Raw genomic sequence first — 16,060 nt, forward strand, 5'->3', positions numbered from 1 at the left:
TCACCTGAGGTAGGGAGTTCGAGACCAGCCTGACCAACATGGAGAAACCCCGTGGTGGTGCATGCCTGTAATCCCAGCTACTTGGGAGGCTGAGGCAGGAGAATCCCTTGAACTGGGGAGGCAGAGGTTGTGGTGAGCCGAAATAGCACCATTGCACTCCAGCCTGGGCAACAAGAGCAAAACTCCATCTAAAAAGAAAAAAAAAAAAAAGAAAAAAAATTGGACACTCAGGATTAGATTTTAGAGTTGAATTGTCACCTATCTGAAGGCAACAGGGACCTGATTGTCTTAGAGCAGTTAATTCACAACTGAAGGCATGCTCTGAAAGACAGTGCCTCTACTGCAGCTTAGGACAGCTGCAGGGTAGATTTTGCTAAAGACCGGGTCCAGGATCTGATTATACAGCAGAAAGTCCAAGAAAAGGTGGAGGCCGAGAGACCTGAAGTGGAAACATTTAGGTAGACAAGCCCAAGAACTTTGAACCTCTAAATTTCTCTGAGCCCCCTATACTTGCAAAAATAGCCCCTAACCATTTGCCAGAGAAAAACAATCTCTGCTTGCCTGGGGGAACATATAATGACCTAATCTGAAGCAGGTGCCTTTCATGGTGAGACTTGTTTTCCTCAAGATGTGCCCCCAATACACTTCATTGCCTTCTGGCTGGAAAGGAAAGTCAGGTTTCAGCACAGCCTGAGCAGGAAATTACAAGCTCTGCTCTAAGAAGAAATTGCTTACATGGCAAAGGAATTGTGGGATCTGGCTAATAAGTAGTAGCTGAAACTGCAGAGAACATGTGTAGGAGTGAGTCTTGAATATGTTAGACCGGGGCACAGAATGCAAAAGTGACGAGGGTAGAATTCATTAATATGGGAATACTCACCCATGATTCAGAATTCCTAATAACTTAATGAGATGACTTCTTGAAGCATTGATCTGATAATGTTCCACATCAAATGAAGTGGAGATGACAGAACTTCCTTGATATCATATTGAAGAAAAGGTCGGAAGGCTCAAGGAAGTAGGGATGTTATACTGGATTCATTGCATATGTCCTGAGAACCCAGCACCTGGTTTACGGATTAAGAAAATGGGGCACAATGAGGTTAAGTAACTTGGAAGAAGTGAGGATTCAAACCATGCTCTTTGGCCTCAGAATTTGGGCGTTTATTTATTTATGACACAGAGTTTTGCTCTGTTGCCCAGGCTGGAGTGCAATGGTGCCATCTTGGCTCACTGCAAAGTCTGCCTCCTGAGTTCAAGCGATTCTCCTGCCTCAGCCTCCTGAGCAGCTGGGCTTACAGGCACCTGCCACCACGCCCAGCTAATTTTGTGTTTTTAGTAGAGACTAGGTTTCACCATGTTGGTCAGGCTGTTCTCGAATTTCTGGCCTCAAGTGATCTGCCTGCCTCCGCCTCCCAAAGTGCTGGTGATAGGGAAGGTTGGAAGGGAAGTGCTGGGAAAGGAAGGGCATGGTCCCTGGTGAAGGCTCCATCCCCGGCCTGTGCCCATGGACCTAGGTGAGGACAGGCACTTCTGCCTTCATGCCCAAATGTTGCATTTGCCAAGACAACCCTGGCCTGCCACGCCTCTATCCTGTGCCTATAAAAACCCCGAAGACCCTAGCAGGCAGACCTACAGGTGGCTGGACATGGAGAGGAACACATCGGTTGAAAAAGACACAAGAGGCTAGATGTCGAGAGGACGTCAAAGAGAGCACGCCAGCGGAAGAGCACACCGATAGACGTTGGCACGCCGCACGGCCATCCACTGGCAGAACGAGGCAGAGTTTGGCTGGGGCAGTCGGAGGAGAGCCCAGGCCGCTAAGCAGCCCCACTCCAGGGGAAAGCCATCTCCCTTCTGGCTCCCCCATCTGCTGAGAGCTACTTCCATTCAATAAAACCTTGCACTCATTCTCCAGGCCCACGTGTGATCCGGTTCTTCCCGTACACCAAGGCAAGAACCCCGGGATTCAGAAAGCCCTCTGTCCTTGCGATAAGGCAGGGGTCTAACTGAGCTAGCAAGCTGCCTATGGATGACTAAACTAAAAGAGCACCCTGTAACACATGCCCACTGGGGCTTCAGCTGTAAACATTTACCCCTAGACACTGCCTTGGGGTCAGAACCCCACAGCCTGCCTGTCTGTATACTCCCCTAGAGGTTTGAGCAGCGGGGCACTCAAGAAGCGATCCACACCCCCATCGCACGCCCTGCAAGGGGGACAAGGGAACTTTTCCGTTTCACTGGGATTACAGGTGTGAGCCACTGCGTGGGCTTTTAACATCTTTAATGTACTGTTTTTTTTTTTTTTTTTTTTTTTTTAAACAAAGCCTCTCTTGGCCGGGTGCAGTGGCTCACGGCTGTAATCCCAGCATTTTGGGAGGCTGAGGCAGGTGGATCACCTGCGGTCAGGAGTTCGAGACCAGCCTGGCCAACATGGTGAAACCCCATCTCTACTAAAAAACACAAAAATTAGCTGGGCGTGGTGGCGGGCGCCTGTAATCCCAGCTACTCGGGAGGCTGAGGCAGGAGAATCGCTTGAACCCGGGAGGCAGAGGTTGCAGTGAGTTGAGATTGTGCCATTGCACTCCAGCCTGGGCGATAAGAGTGAAAATCTGTCTCAAAAACAAAACAAAACCACAAAACCTCTCTCCTGAATACAGAACCAAGTCAAAACCAAGTCAGAATTACTCAGCATACCTTCCAACTCCCCATTGTATTTGATCACACTTCCCTTTCTGCCTCATCTTCTGCCTCCGGATCTATGGCAGCCTGTGGCTCACCACACTAGACAGCTTGTTTATTTAGACTTGCTGTATGTGTTTATGGCTTTGTACCTTACTCAGGCTTTTCTCTCAGTCAGGCATATCCTTCTAAATGCTCTTCATCTTTTTTTTTCTTTTTCTTCATTTGCTCATTCCAACAAAGATGTATTGAGCTGTACTCTGTGCCAGGTGCCAGATTTGGGTGCTAGGTTACCATGGGAAGAAGGTAAATGCTTGTTGCAAGGGTCTTTCTGTGAGTGAGAGGCATTTACGGTCTGGGGCTAAAACATCATCTCCTCTAGAATTCTCTGTTCTCTTTCCAGTTCCGAGATTCATCTTAGAACTCCCACAGTCTTCCTTCCCCCTTGCCCTCCCCTCCCCTGCCCCTCCCCTCCTCTCTCTTTTTTTTGAGAAAAGATCTTGCTCTGTAGCTCAGACTGGAATACAGTGGGGTGATTATAGCTCACTGCAGCCTCAAACTCCTGGCTCAAGTGATCTTTCTGCCTCAGCCTCTTGAGTAGCTGGGATTTCAGGTGCATGTGACCATGCCAGGCTAATTAAAAAAATTTTTTTTAAAAATCAGAGACAGGGTCTCACTGTGTTGCCCAGGCTGGTCTCAAACTCCTGGCCTCAAGCAATCCACCCACCTCGGCCTCCCAAAGTATTGAGATCACAGGCGTGAGTGACCACACCTGGCGGTCCCACATTTCTTAAAACCTTTCTCACAGCACATTCCACAGCATGCCTTTTCTTTTCTTTTTTCTTTTCTTTTCTTTTCCTTTCCTTTCCTTTCTTTTCTCTTTTCTTTTCTTTCTTTCTTTCTTTCTTTCTTTCTTTCTTTCTTTCTTTCTTTCTTTCTTTTCTCTCTTTCTTTCTTTTTCTTTTCCTTTTTTTTTTTTTTCTTTGAGATGGAGTCTCACTTTGTCACCCAGCCTGGGGTGCAGTGGCGCGATCTCGGCTCACTGCAACCTCGCCTCCTGGGATCAAGTGATTCTCCTGCCTCAGCCTCCTAAGTAGCAGGGATTACAGGCACATGCCACCATGTCCAGCTAATCCATAGCATGCCTTTTAATTATGATTATTTGAGTTTGTGTTATCTGCTTCCTGTAGGGAATGTATGGGTTCATCTATGCCTTGTATGGACACTAACAAAATGGTTGCATTTATCTGAATAAATGGATGAAGAAGTTTTAAAAAGTCTACATATTAGGTAGATCATATATATTGTATCTATTTGGGATAGTCCAAATGATTAACAACTAAATTGAGAATTGAAAGAGCACTAACCTTGCATATTCTTTAACAGTCAGTAGCTTTAGATAAAAAAGACTTTCGAATGGGCAAAAAGCTTCCCTGCAGCCTGCGAAGATGTTAATTATAAGAAATAGCAATTTACATTATTTATAAGGAAGCTATTTACAGTACTTAGGCTTGTCAGACACAGTAGTTGCACAGCTCCATTCTTTCATTACAGTGAGAAGAATAAAGCAAAGTGACAAGGAAAGAGAAAGATATTATAATGGCTGCATCTAATTACAAGGAAGATAACACCTCTAAAATGTTAAAAATGCCTCAAATTCAATTTATTTATTTTATTTTTATTATTTATTTATTTATTTATTTATTTATTTATTTATTTATTTTGAGATGGGGTCTAGCTCTGTCGCTAAGGCTGGAGTGAAGTGGCATGATCTCGGCTCACTGCAACCTCCACCTCCCGGGTTCAGGCGATTCTCCTGCTTCAGTCTCCTGAGTAGCTGGGATTACAGGTGTCCGACACCACGCCCAGCTAATATTTGTGTTTTCAGTAGAGACGGGATTTCAACATGTTGGCTAGGCTGGTCTCGAACTCCTGACGTCAAGTGATTCGCCCACCTGAGCCTCCTGAAGTGCTGGGATTACAGGCGTGAGCCACGACACCCAGCCAATTTAATTTAAACTAAATAAAATGTAAACTTCCATCTTATCATAATGATGATTCAGAATATAACACCCATTTAAATATTCAGACAAGCTTCCAAAAACTACTGCAAGTTAAGCATTGTTAGCTTTAGTGTGTGCAAGGGGGAAAGTGACTAAGATGCAATGTTTCATAATTCAGGTATTTGAATTTGCTTAGTCACATTTTCTTTTACCAGTGACTTTGAAATACAAGTGTCTGCCCTATGATAAAGTTTGTTTGTGACAGTAGCCAGATTAGAAGGAAAAACACCACTTTGTCTTTTATTTTTTTCTTTCCTTTTCTGTGACCACTTTAATTAATTTTATCCTGCTGTTTCACTTTCATCAATATAATAGATAGCACTCAGTGGCAAATTACACCAGTTTTTGATCTGCAATGGACAAGTCTGCCATGTTAGAGCAAGAAAAAGATGAGAAAAAAGAGAATTTACCAAGCCGACTTTTAAAAATGTCTATTAATATTTTTGTAAATGCCCAGTGATTATTTCTCTAGGACTACATTCTTTAAAGCCTTACAATTTTTGTTGTTCACTTAGAGAACAAGATAAAATCTTTGTTGATCAAAGGATGATATCTACATCCTGATTAGAGAATTGGACTCCTACAGTGAGGTGTCATTGCGTCTCACTGCTTGCCAGGAAGTTTCTCTGGCTATAATTAACTGTGCCGATGAGCAAAATTATTTTCCTTCAAAGAATATTAGGGTACAGTAGACATGACATATTAGGCCAGCCTCACAAATTAGCACAGGCCCACAGAGCCTGCATAAAATTAGGTCAGACTTGAAAGATATCAGGCTGTGGTCCAATAAGCTTCTTAGTCTGAAATGGAAAATTGGGTTCACAGGGTGTTAGGGTCACTGTCTTTATTTAAGTGTGATAGAACTGGTAACAATTTTCAGGGTTAAAGACTGATTTTTCTAAGCCACCAAATATTTCTGGTTCTTCTCTTAGATAATTTATTGTGTTGCATAATTTATAGAAAAGAAGGTTCTCCATTTTCTCAATACTCATACTTTAATAAATTTAACTCTGACTTTTGCCTATAATACACAGGCTAAGAATAAACTCCCCAAGTATTTCCCTGGAGGTCTGTAGTTTCCCCATCAGAAGTAAAGTCTCCTAAAAGCCCTGTTTAAAATGCAAAGTATTTTGAGAGTTAACACTTCAGGCCACTAGTATGTATTAATGTCCTATGGTTAAGGTTGAGCAAAATGCACATTAATTTAGAATACAGAGATAATTAAAGTAAGGCTGGAATGTGCATAAATAGATGTAATCATAATTATTAGAGGCATAGACATCATGTCCACAGTTACAGACCTCAAGGTACAAATAGAGGAAAGAGAATGGATCAGCTGCATATTCAGTACTCCCTGGCTATCTGTGGGGGACTAGTTCCATGACACCCGCAGATACCAAAATCTGTGGATGCTCAAGCCTCTGATATGAAATGCTGTAGTATTTGCATATAATTTGTGCACATCCTTCAGGATGTTTTAAATCATCTCTAGATAACTAGTAATACCTAATACAGTATAAATGCCATGTAAATAGTTGTATTTTGTGTTATTTTTATTGTTGTATTGTTATTTCTAATTTTGTTCTGAATATTTACAATCTGGAGTTGCTTGAATCCACAGATGAAGAACCCGAGATTTGGAGGGCCAACTGTATTTGATTCTTAAACTGCTTGTCAGATATTTCTCTAATTTCAATTTGATTAATAAGCTTTGTTTTGGGGAGTGATCAATACAGCCTATTCATTTTGAGCACAGGCTTTGGAGTCACAAGTTCCCTTTGGAGGACCTGGTCGCTGACACTACGGTTGTACGCTGACTTTTGTCAAATGACTTAACCTCCTTGAGCTTTGGTTTCCTAAACTGTGAGATGGATATACTAATAGTATCCTAAGTTGTAAAGTAGTTATGATGATTAAATGAGATAAATGAAAGTACATGTTTCAAATGCTTAATGCCTGACACACGTTAATGGTCATGGTCGTCATCATTATCGTTATTAAGTGGCCAACATGGATAAAGAGTATAGTCTGGATTTGTGACCTTAAATTTTTGGCTCTAATATTCGCCAGCGCTCTGCTCAGAACATTCTCTGTTCGCATTTCATACAGCGGTGCCAGCGCACAACCAGGCAACGCCCTCAGGAGCATCATTGTTTTCTGGACCTGGTTCTTTCTCGCTCTGCCCTCCAGGGGCCGCTGTGTTTCTCGGAATGCGCGCGGGATGCCCGGTTGCCACGAGACCGTCGCCAGGCAACCGCGTGTACACATACTCCAGGCGGGCCGGGGCGCGTCAATATGGCGGCGCAGGGCTCCCCCTCGAGCTCTCCGTCAGACGACTCTACCACCTCGGGGTCTCTGCCAGAACTGCCGCCGACCTCCACCGCGACTTCGAGGTCGCCCCCAGAGTCGAAGGGGAGCTCCCGGAGCTCGCTGCTTCAGTGGACCTGCCCCGAGGACTCATTGCCCCTAGCCGTGTTTTATGGGCCGCTGGACGCGAAAAACCCGCTCCTGGCCTCTTGTGAGAAGGAGATCCAGGAGTTGTTAGGCTTTATGAGGAAAAAGAAGGCTTTAGCCACCACGGAGGAAGAGAAGCACGAATTCCGCCGGCGTTGGTAAGCGCTGGCGGGGCACTGGGGAGGGCGCCGGCCAGAGGAGGGACCCCTGGAAAGGGCTGGAGGATGCAGGTGGTGGCCCCAGAGATGGTTCAGCGTTGCGGACGCAGGGGCTGGCTGAAGGGCCCAGGAGAGACAAAGTTTAAGAAGTGGAGACTCGTCGCTCTTAACAATCCTTAATTCCTGGGAGCTGTTATATCTTGGCTTCCTGCTCAGGTCAAAATAAAAATCTACACAGAAATGTTTCATAACTCACCATTTGTTATTTGACCAGAAAAGAAAGATGGTAACATAAGCAGGAAAGAACCTTAAAAAGAGTTCGCAGTTTGCAGTAATAACATGGTGATAGAACTCCCAAAAAGGCAAACAGTTGCGCAGAATGAATAGCAAAATTAAGAAAAAGTCACTGTAATCCTAATAGCAATATAAGAAGGAATTAAAGTGCACATGTTCACAGGATGACATACTTCATTGTATCAAGAGCTAGCTTCATGAACCTGAGCTACCTCGAAGTTATTCCTTTTTCTCCATATACAAATTTATATACTCATAACATGGAAAGTTGTGAAACCCTTGAGCGAGCCAAAAATTTATACATGAATACAAAATACGAAAATTAGCTGGGCATGGTGGCACATGCCTGTACTCCCAGCTACTCAGGAGGCTGAGGCAGGAGAATTGCTTGAACCCGGGAGGCAGAGGTTGCAGTGAGCTGGGATCGCGCCACTACACTCCAGCCTGGGCGACAGAGCAAGACTCCTTCTCAAAAAATAATAATAATAAATAAATAAAATAAAATATTTTTTATTTATGCATATAACAACTATTTATTGAGCACATACTGTATATCAAGTGCTGTTCAAGGAACTAGGAAAACATCAAGTTAACAAAACATATAAGAATCCATGTCCTTATAGAGCATATGTTTTTGTGGGTATAAACAACCACTAAACAAATATGTAAGTAAATAATCTTACAAGGAGATGACTGCTAGGGAGAAAAATAGAACAGGGAATGGTGTTGGAGGATATGAGATGAATGTTGCAATTTTATCTTTTTTTTTTGAGACAGGGTCTCACTCTTGCACAGGCTGTTGTGCAGTGGCTCAATCCTGGCTCACTGAAACCTTGAACTTGGGGGCTCAAGGGATCCTCCCACCTTGACCTCCCAAAGTATTGGATTACAGGCATGAGCTACTGCGCCTGGCCTGAGTGTTGCAATTTTAAATGGGGTGGTGAGAAGCCTGGTTAGGGAAGGTCAGGAAAAGTTGCTTTTGAGAAAGATGAGAAAGATATGGGAGCAATTGATGAGGATTTTTGTGCAAAAAGTAGGTCACACAGGGAGAATGGCAGATGGGAAAGACCTGGGGTGGAATTGTATTGTGGGAAGAGCAAGAGGGAGGGAGATCAAGAGTTTACTTTTATAAAAATTGAGATGTGATTCAGCATCCAGGTGGAGCTACTATGTAGGTAGTTGGACATTTGAATCTGGAAGTCAGATGAGATATACATTTGGGATTCATATGATATTTAAATGATGACACTTGATGAATAGCTAAGGGAGTGTGTGTGTAAATGGAGAAGGGAAGAGTCCAAGGATTGAGCCCTGGGATGCTCCAGCATGGACAGGGAGAGGCAATAAGAAGAAACCAACAGAGACTAAGGAGGAGGGGCCAGTGGAAAACCATTAAGTGCCTGGTGTACTAGAAGCAGGTAGAGAAAGTATTTCAGGAAGAAAGGAATGATCAACTGTGGCAAATTCTGCTGACTGGCCAAGTAAGATGAGAACCAAGAATTGACCAAGGAAAGCCCATTATATACCTACTCTATATGCTTTATTTATTTATTTATTGATAGGGAGTCTCACTCTGTACCCCAGGCTGGAGTGTACTGCTGCGATCTCAGCTTACTGCAACCTCTGCCTCCCAGGTTTAAGCGATTCTTGTGCCTCAGCCTTCTGAGTAGCTGGGACTACAGGTGCCTGCTACCACGCCCGGCTAATTTTTGTATTTTTAGTAGAGATGGGGTTTCGCCATGTTGGCCAGGCTGGTCTCAAACTCCTGACCTCAGGTGATCCACCCGCCTTGGCCTCCAAGATTGCTGAGGTTACAGGCATGAGCCACCTTGCCCGGCTTATACATTTATATTTAAATGGTTTTTATCTTTGAACTTCATCTCCCCATCTCCACTACCAGCGTTCCAGTCCAAACCACCACCATTTCACATTTTCCCTGCAGCCACTCTGTCTCCAATCTATCCTTCACCTAGCAGTCAGGATGATCTTTACAAATCTTATCTAAAGTCTTTCTATTGCTTCCCATTGCTTTTGGAATAAACTTAAGAATTCTGATACTCTCCAGGGGCTGAGGTGTTGACCCTGCCTGCCTTTCTGAGCTCAGCTCATCCCTCACTTCTCTCTCAGGACTTTCCAGAGAAACAGGTCCTACTGTTTCTCACCCCAGAGCCTTTATATTTGCCATCTTTGTTGTCTGAATGTTCTTCCCCAAGCTTTTCAAAAATCTGGCTCCTTTTTTCAGGCCTCAGCTCAGTTGTCACCTCCTTAGAGTGGCCTTTCCTATCGAATGCAGATTCACTCATAGGTTTATATTTTTTAATCGATTTGTTTTCTTGTGTATTGTCTGTCTCATTAGGATGTAAGCTCCCTGGTGACTTTGGATGTGTTTCTTTTTCATTGCTGTATTTCTGGCACTTAGCCTGGGGGTTGGGACATAATAAACATTCAATAAATATTTAGTATTGAAAGGATTCAAGAGTTATTATCCTTGGCCTGGTGCAGTGGCTTACGCCTGTAATCCCAGCACTCTGGGAGGCTGAGGCAGGCAGATCACCTGCAGTCAGGAGTTCAAGATCAGCCTGGCCAACATGGCAAAACTCTGTCTCTACTAAAAAATACAAAAATTAGCCGGGCGTGGTGGTGTGTGCCTGTAATCCCAGCTACTCAGGAGGCTGAGGCATGAGAATCTCTTGAACCCAGGAGGTGGAGGTTGCCAGTGTGCCGAGATCATGCCACTGCACTCCACCCTGGATGACAGAATGAGACTCTGTCTCAAAAAAAAAAAAAAAGAGTTATTATCCTTATATTCTCAGTAATTGTGACTATTACATATAGGAAAGTAGACATGGGCCAGTCTATAAGTACAGAATCTGCGCCATCTTTAACAAGACTATAAGAATCACAAGCATTGGATTGACATGTGCCTTAACAGTCCAACCTCTCACACAATTTTGGCCTTTATTTATACAATAATTTTTACTGAGTGCCTGCTATGTGTGAGGAAATGTACTTGACACTGGTTACACAGTGGTGAACAAAATAGATATGGGAGTCAGTATTCATGGAGCTTATAGTCTAGAGAGGGAGATAGATGTTCAATGAGTCATTAGTCAATTCACAAACAACAAATGCTATGAAAGTAACTGCTGAGCACTTATATGTGTCAGGCTTCCTACTAGGCACTCTGGATACAGCAGTGAACCAGACAAAAGTCTCTGCCTTCTCAGACTTTATAGTCTAGAGAGGGAACTAGACAATAAACATCAATTATGTGTATTTTATGGTAATTTAGGAATGATAAATGCAGCTGGGTGCGGTGGCTCACGCCTGCAATCCCAGCACTTTGAGAGGCTGGATCACGAGGTCAGGTATTTGAGACCAGCCTGGCCAACATAGTGAAACCCTGTCTCTACTAAAAATACAAAAAATTAGTCGGGCGTGGTGGTGGGCGCCTGTAATCCCAGCTACTCGGCAGGCCGAGGCAGGAGAATCACTTGAACCTGGGAAGTGGAGGTTGCATTGAGCCAAGATCGCGCCAGTGCACTCCAGCCCAGGCGACAGAGTGAGACTCCGTCTCAAACAAACAAACAAAAAAACAAAACAAAGAAATGATAAATGCTAGAGAGAAAAAGAAGATAATCTATTCCCATTAGAAATTAAAAAGAAAAAGAAAAAGAGAAGAGGTTATGGAGTGGAAGATAGGAAGTTGCAATTTTCAATAAGGTGGTCAGAAGTAGATGACACTTAAAGCAGAGGCTTAAAGAGAATGTAGTGGGGACTTGCTTTCGAATGATTGGTAAGGGAGGTGCCATTAAGCTGAGATTAGAAGGACACCTGGGATTTGACTAGCCAAACAGAGAGGATGAATAGGGGGACAAAAATGCAGGAAGATCCTTGGCAGAACAGATCCATTCCTACTTCGGAGGAATGGACAGAATCCCATTTAGCAGAAGCAGAGTGAAAGAGGTACAACAGTATGAGGTGAGATTTAGGGGAATAATAGGACTTTGGAAGGTTTTAGAGGCCATTTTAAAGAGTTTGCATTTATTCCATTGGGTAGTTTTGGCAAAGGATTACCCTTATGTAATTTTTTTTTTTTTGAGACAGTCTCACTCTGTCAACAAGGCTGGAATGCAGTGGTGCAATCTCAGCTCACTGCAACCTCCGCCTCCGGAGTTCAAGTGATTCTCCTGCCTCAGCCTCCTGAGTAGCTGGGATTATAGGCGCATGCCACCACGCCCGGCTAATTTTTGTGTCTTTAGTAGAGACAGGGTTTCACCATGTTGGCCAGGCTGGTCTCAAACTCCTGATCTCAAGTGATCCACCCGCCTCAGCCTCCCAAAGTGCTGGGATTACAGGTGTGAGCCACCATGCACGGCCTAATTTTTGTTTTAAGATATTATTCTGATGATCATATCCAAAGGGAACAAGAATAGCAGTGTAGAGACCAGTTAGGAGTACAGGAGGTAGGAGTTGCTTTTATAATATATTTGACAGATGGTTATTATTATTATTATTATTTTTTGAGACAGAGTCTTGCTCTGTCGCCAGGCTGGAGTGCAATGACGCAATCTCGGCTCTCTGCAGCTTCCGCCTCCCGGATTCCAGTGATTCTCCTGCCTTAGCCTCCCAAGTAGCTGGGACTACAGGCGCAACCTACCACGCCCAGCTAATTTTTGTATTTTTAGTAGAGACGGAGTTTCACCATGTTGGCCAGGATGGTCTCGATATCTTGACCTCGTGATCCGACCGCTTTGGCCTCCCAAAGTATTGGGATTACAGGCGTGAGCCACTGCGCCTAGACAACAGATGGTTATTTTTTGTATCAAAATTTGTTTTTCCTTATAACTATGGAAACTTCCATAAGCATACAATTCATAGTATTTAAAATATAAATTATTGTCATACTAGAAATATCTTTAAATAAGAGTATGATACGTTTTTAAAAATGTGCTTTTGCTATAAGCACATAAGATTGAGGTATTCTGCTTATATAGTTATGATTTTCTTTTCTTTTCTCCTTCCTTCCTTCCTTCCTTCCTTCCTTCCTTCCTTCCTTCCTTCCTTCCTTCTTTCCTTCCTTCCTTCCTTCCTTTTTCTTTTTTGAGACAGTGTCTTGTTCTGTCGCCCAGGCTGGAGTGCAGTAGCCGGATCTTGGCTCACTGCTACGTCTGCCTCCCGGGTGCAGTCAATCAGACAATTCACGTGCCTCAGCCTCGTTGGTAGCTGGACTATAGGTGCATGTCACCACGCCCGGCTAATTTTTGTTTTTTTTTTTTTAGTAGAGACGGGATTTCGTGATGTTTCCCAGGCTGGTCTTGAACTCCTGACCTCAAGCGATCTGCCCACTCTGGCCTCCCAAAGTGCTGGGATTACAGGCATGAGCCATCGTGCCTGGCTGATTTTCTGTTTTAGAACATTTTACATATCTAGCAACAGTCAGCAATCCCAAGTACATTAACATTTTCTTCTCAAATGATGTACATTCTATAGTATATATTATATATTTTTGGTTTAATCATTATGTAAGCTATTCCCAATGAGCAGCCTTAACCTGAACTTAGGGTTCAACAAAAAAAGAGATTTTTTCTTTCTTATTATATAATCTTGATTGATTTAACAAAGCTGGTATTTTTCTTTTATGAGTAACAAACCTAGTCATCATTATCTCATCTGTAAGGTTTAGAAGAATTAATTATTTCATCTACATAATTTAAGACTTCTAGTAAGACTTGGTGAATTTCTTGGATTCATTATATTTATTCAAATACCGTGGCATTTCGTGAAGCAGCAAATGAAAGTGAAAGAGGTAATAAAGCAAACAAAACACCTCTCCCCTTTTAAATGTCTGTGGTTTATATTTGCTATATTTATTTGTCATTGTTATTTATTACTTGGTATATGCATATATTTTTCTACCTAAATATATTATTAATCAGTTTGTGAAGGAGGAATGCATTGTCTCCTTCACTCAATCAGTGACTCAATCAATATTATTTAATTACCCAAATGAATTAATTGACAGGTTTCTGTTTAGATGTTCCATTATTACTCCAACACATACATCATAAGTATTAGAGCCATCTTCAGTTCTTAAGTTTATGTCCTGTATTAGCCAGCTCAGGCTGCCATAACAAAATACTACAGACCAGGTGGCTTAAACAACAGAAATTTATTTATTTTTCACAGTCTGAAGGCTGGAAGTCCCAGATCAAGGTCCAGCAGGGTTGGTTTCTCATGAGGACTCCTCTCCTGGTTTGTAGAAGGCTGCTTTGTCCTCAAGCATGGAGACTGTAAACAATTTATGACCATATCACAAAAGAGCAACCTCTCTGGAGTCTCTTCTTGTAGGGACATTAATTCCATCAGGCCAGAGTACTAATCTTATAATTTCATTTAACCTTAATTGCTTCCTTAGAGGCTCTGTTTCCAAATACAACCACACTGGAGGTTAGGATTTCAACATATGAATTGGGGGGCAGTGGGGGAGGGGTCACAAATATTCAGTCTTATCTAGAAATTTATGAGATAGGATTGGACACTTGTTAAGGGATATTCAGATTTTTCCTAGAGACATATATAATTTCTGAGGGAGAGGAAAGAAATAAATGTTAACTAAATGAATGAATAAAATAGGCAATGATCTGCTACTGTTTGAAACTCTGGTTAGAAACCATTTTGAAAATGCTGTTTGTTTTGTTTTTATTTTACTTGGTGGAGGGAAGTATAGCTCTAAGTGGATTGACTGGCCATTTGAGCCCTGAGCCCTTCATAAGAAAAAATAAAACAAGAACAAATAATGTTTTCTTCCCAATCCTTTATTCATTCATTCATCTTTCAGCAGATATTTATTGAGTACCTACATGTACTAGGTATTCACTACTGTTGGGGCTGGGCAATGAATAATATTGTTGAGGTCCTTGACCTCAGGGGAGTTTACTTTCCAGAGGACTGGCAAGCTCATTCATGTAGTCGTTAAGAGCATAGATGCACTGAGCCTCAGCTTAATCAACTGTATCTTTGGGATATTGATATTACCTTTCTTGGAGTTGTGAAAATGAAGTGAAAAAAGGTACATATATAGGCAAGAGACCCAAAATAGCTAACACAGCATTGAAGGAGAAGAAGAAAGTTGGAGGACTGACACGACTCAATTTCAAGACTTACTATAAAGCTACAGTATTCAAGATAGTGTGACATTGGTGAAAGAATAGACAAATCTATGGAACAATATACACAGCTCAGAAATAGACTCACATAAATATAGCCAACTTGTTAGGGAAACAGGAGCATAGGAGAGCCAGAGTAATGGCATTTTAAAATCAACTCCATTTTAAAATTAGCAAGGCACATTCCTTGCCAGGCGTGACCCATGGTCATCAATTTTTTACAGTTGAAGAAACAACCTAAAGATACCTGCAAAGACAAGCACCTACAACAGCAGAAAGTCCAGATGTCCCAGTACCCATAACAATATACGCCTTCAAGATAATTATAGCTATGCCTTGATGTACTGCACATGAAAACGTTGAGGATAGTTTCCTTTAAATCAACAGAGTAATAAATTTCGTTACACTGTTGGCCTACCTGCATGTAGACCTAACTTAGCTTGGCTTTTTACGTAGATAAGACCCCTATATAAGAAGAGTTTAAAACAAAGATAGTGTGTTCATCTTCCTGCTTTCTGAGGTTGCCCAACTCTGTAACTGAGTAGCTTTCAATGAATGATCTCTTCCCACTGCACTCTGTGACTTGTCTTGAATTCCTTCCTGTGCGAGATCCAAGAGCCCTCTCTTGTGGTCTAGATCAAAACCCCTTTTCTGGCAACAAACTGATCTTTGGCAAGTGAGCAAAGTCAATTCAGTGGAGAACAGTGTCTTCAATAAATGATCCTGGAACAACTGGATATCCACATGCCAAAAAATGAATCTAGGGGGTCTGGATCAAAACCCCTTTTCTGGCAACAAACTGATCTTCGGCAAGTGAGCAAAGTCAATTCAGTGGAGAACAGTGTCTTCAATAAATGGTCCTGGAACAACTGGATATCCACATGCCAAAAAATGAATCTAGACACAGACTGTACGCCCTTCACAAAAATTAACTCAAAATGGATCACCTACCTAAATGTAAAATGCAGTATTATGAAACTCCTGGCCGGGCACCGTGGCTCACGCCTGTAATCCCAGCACCTGGGGAGGCCTAGGCAGGTGGATCACAAGGTCAAGAGATTGAGACCATCCTGGTCAACATGGTGAAAACCCATCTCTATTAAAAATACAAAAATTAGCTGGGCGTGGTGGTGCGTGCCTGTAGTCCCAGCTACTCGGGAGGCTGAGGCAGGAGAATCACTTGAATCCAGGAGGCAGAGGTTGCAGTGAGCTGAGATGGCACCACTGCACTCAAGCCTGG

General features: G+C 42.7%; 1 protein-coding gene across 2 annotated transcripts in view, besides 6 other annotated features; it reads left to right on the forward strand.

Annotated features, from left to right (window-relative positions):
- Nucleotides 1,807–2,004: a silencer, noted in NCBI's record as "fragment chr12:96878154-96878351 (GRCh37/hg19 assembly coordinates)". NCBI's record gives its function as "represses an EF-1alpha promoter that drives an FKBP-Casp9 reporter gene in an ReSE screen in K562 erythroleukemia cells {active_cell/tissue: K562}" and the evidence as "EXISTENCE:reporter gene assay evidence [ECO:0000049][PMID:32094911]".
- Nucleotides 2,773–2,822: an enhancer, noted in NCBI's record as "active region_6831". NCBI's record gives its function as "activates an Ori minimal core promoter by ATAC-STARR-seq in GM12878 lymphoblastoid cells {active_cell/tissue: GM12878}" and the evidence as "EXISTENCE:reporter gene assay evidence [ECO:0000049][PMID:35858748]".
- Nucleotides 2,833–2,972: an enhancer, noted in NCBI's record as "active region_6832". NCBI's record gives its function as "activates an Ori minimal core promoter by ATAC-STARR-seq in GM12878 lymphoblastoid cells {active_cell/tissue: GM12878}" and the evidence as "EXISTENCE:reporter gene assay evidence [ECO:0000049][PMID:35858748]".
- Nucleotides 6,862–7,156: a silencer, noted in NCBI's record as "tiled region #2123; HepG2 Repressive DNase matched - State 4:PromP". NCBI's record gives its function as "represses a minimal TATA promoter and a strong SV40 promoter by Sharpr-MPRA in HepG2 cells {active_cell/tissue: HepG2}" and the evidence as "EXISTENCE:reporter gene assay evidence [ECO:0000049][PMID:27701403]".
- Nucleotides 6,862–7,256: a biological region, named in NCBI's record as "Sharpr-MPRA regulatory region 2123".
- CFAP54 (cilia and flagella associated protein 54) overlaps nucleotides 7,008–16,060 on the forward strand; it is a 385,979-nt gene continuing 376,926 nt past the window's right edge. For both annotated transcript variants that reach the window (NM_001367885.1, NM_001306084.2), the window contains exon 1: nucleotides 7,008–7,357. In NM_001367885.1, coding sequence (NP_001354814.1) covers nucleotides 7,041–7,357 — 317 coding nt within the window. In that variant the 5' untranslated portion in view covers nucleotides 7,008–7,040. The remainder of the gene's footprint in view (nucleotides 7,358–16,060) is intronic.
- Nucleotides 7,047–7,256: an enhancer, noted in NCBI's record as "active region_6833". NCBI's record gives its function as "activates an Ori minimal core promoter by ATAC-STARR-seq in GM12878 lymphoblastoid cells {active_cell/tissue: GM12878}" and the evidence as "EXISTENCE:reporter gene assay evidence [ECO:0000049][PMID:35858748]".

The sequence above is a fragment of the Homo sapiens genome, chromosome 12 (assembly GCF_000001405.40).
Source record: "Homo sapiens chromosome 12, GRCh38.p14 Primary Assembly".
Classification (NCBI taxonomy): domain Eukaryota; kingdom Metazoa; phylum Chordata; class Mammalia; order Primates; family Hominidae; genus Homo; species Homo sapiens.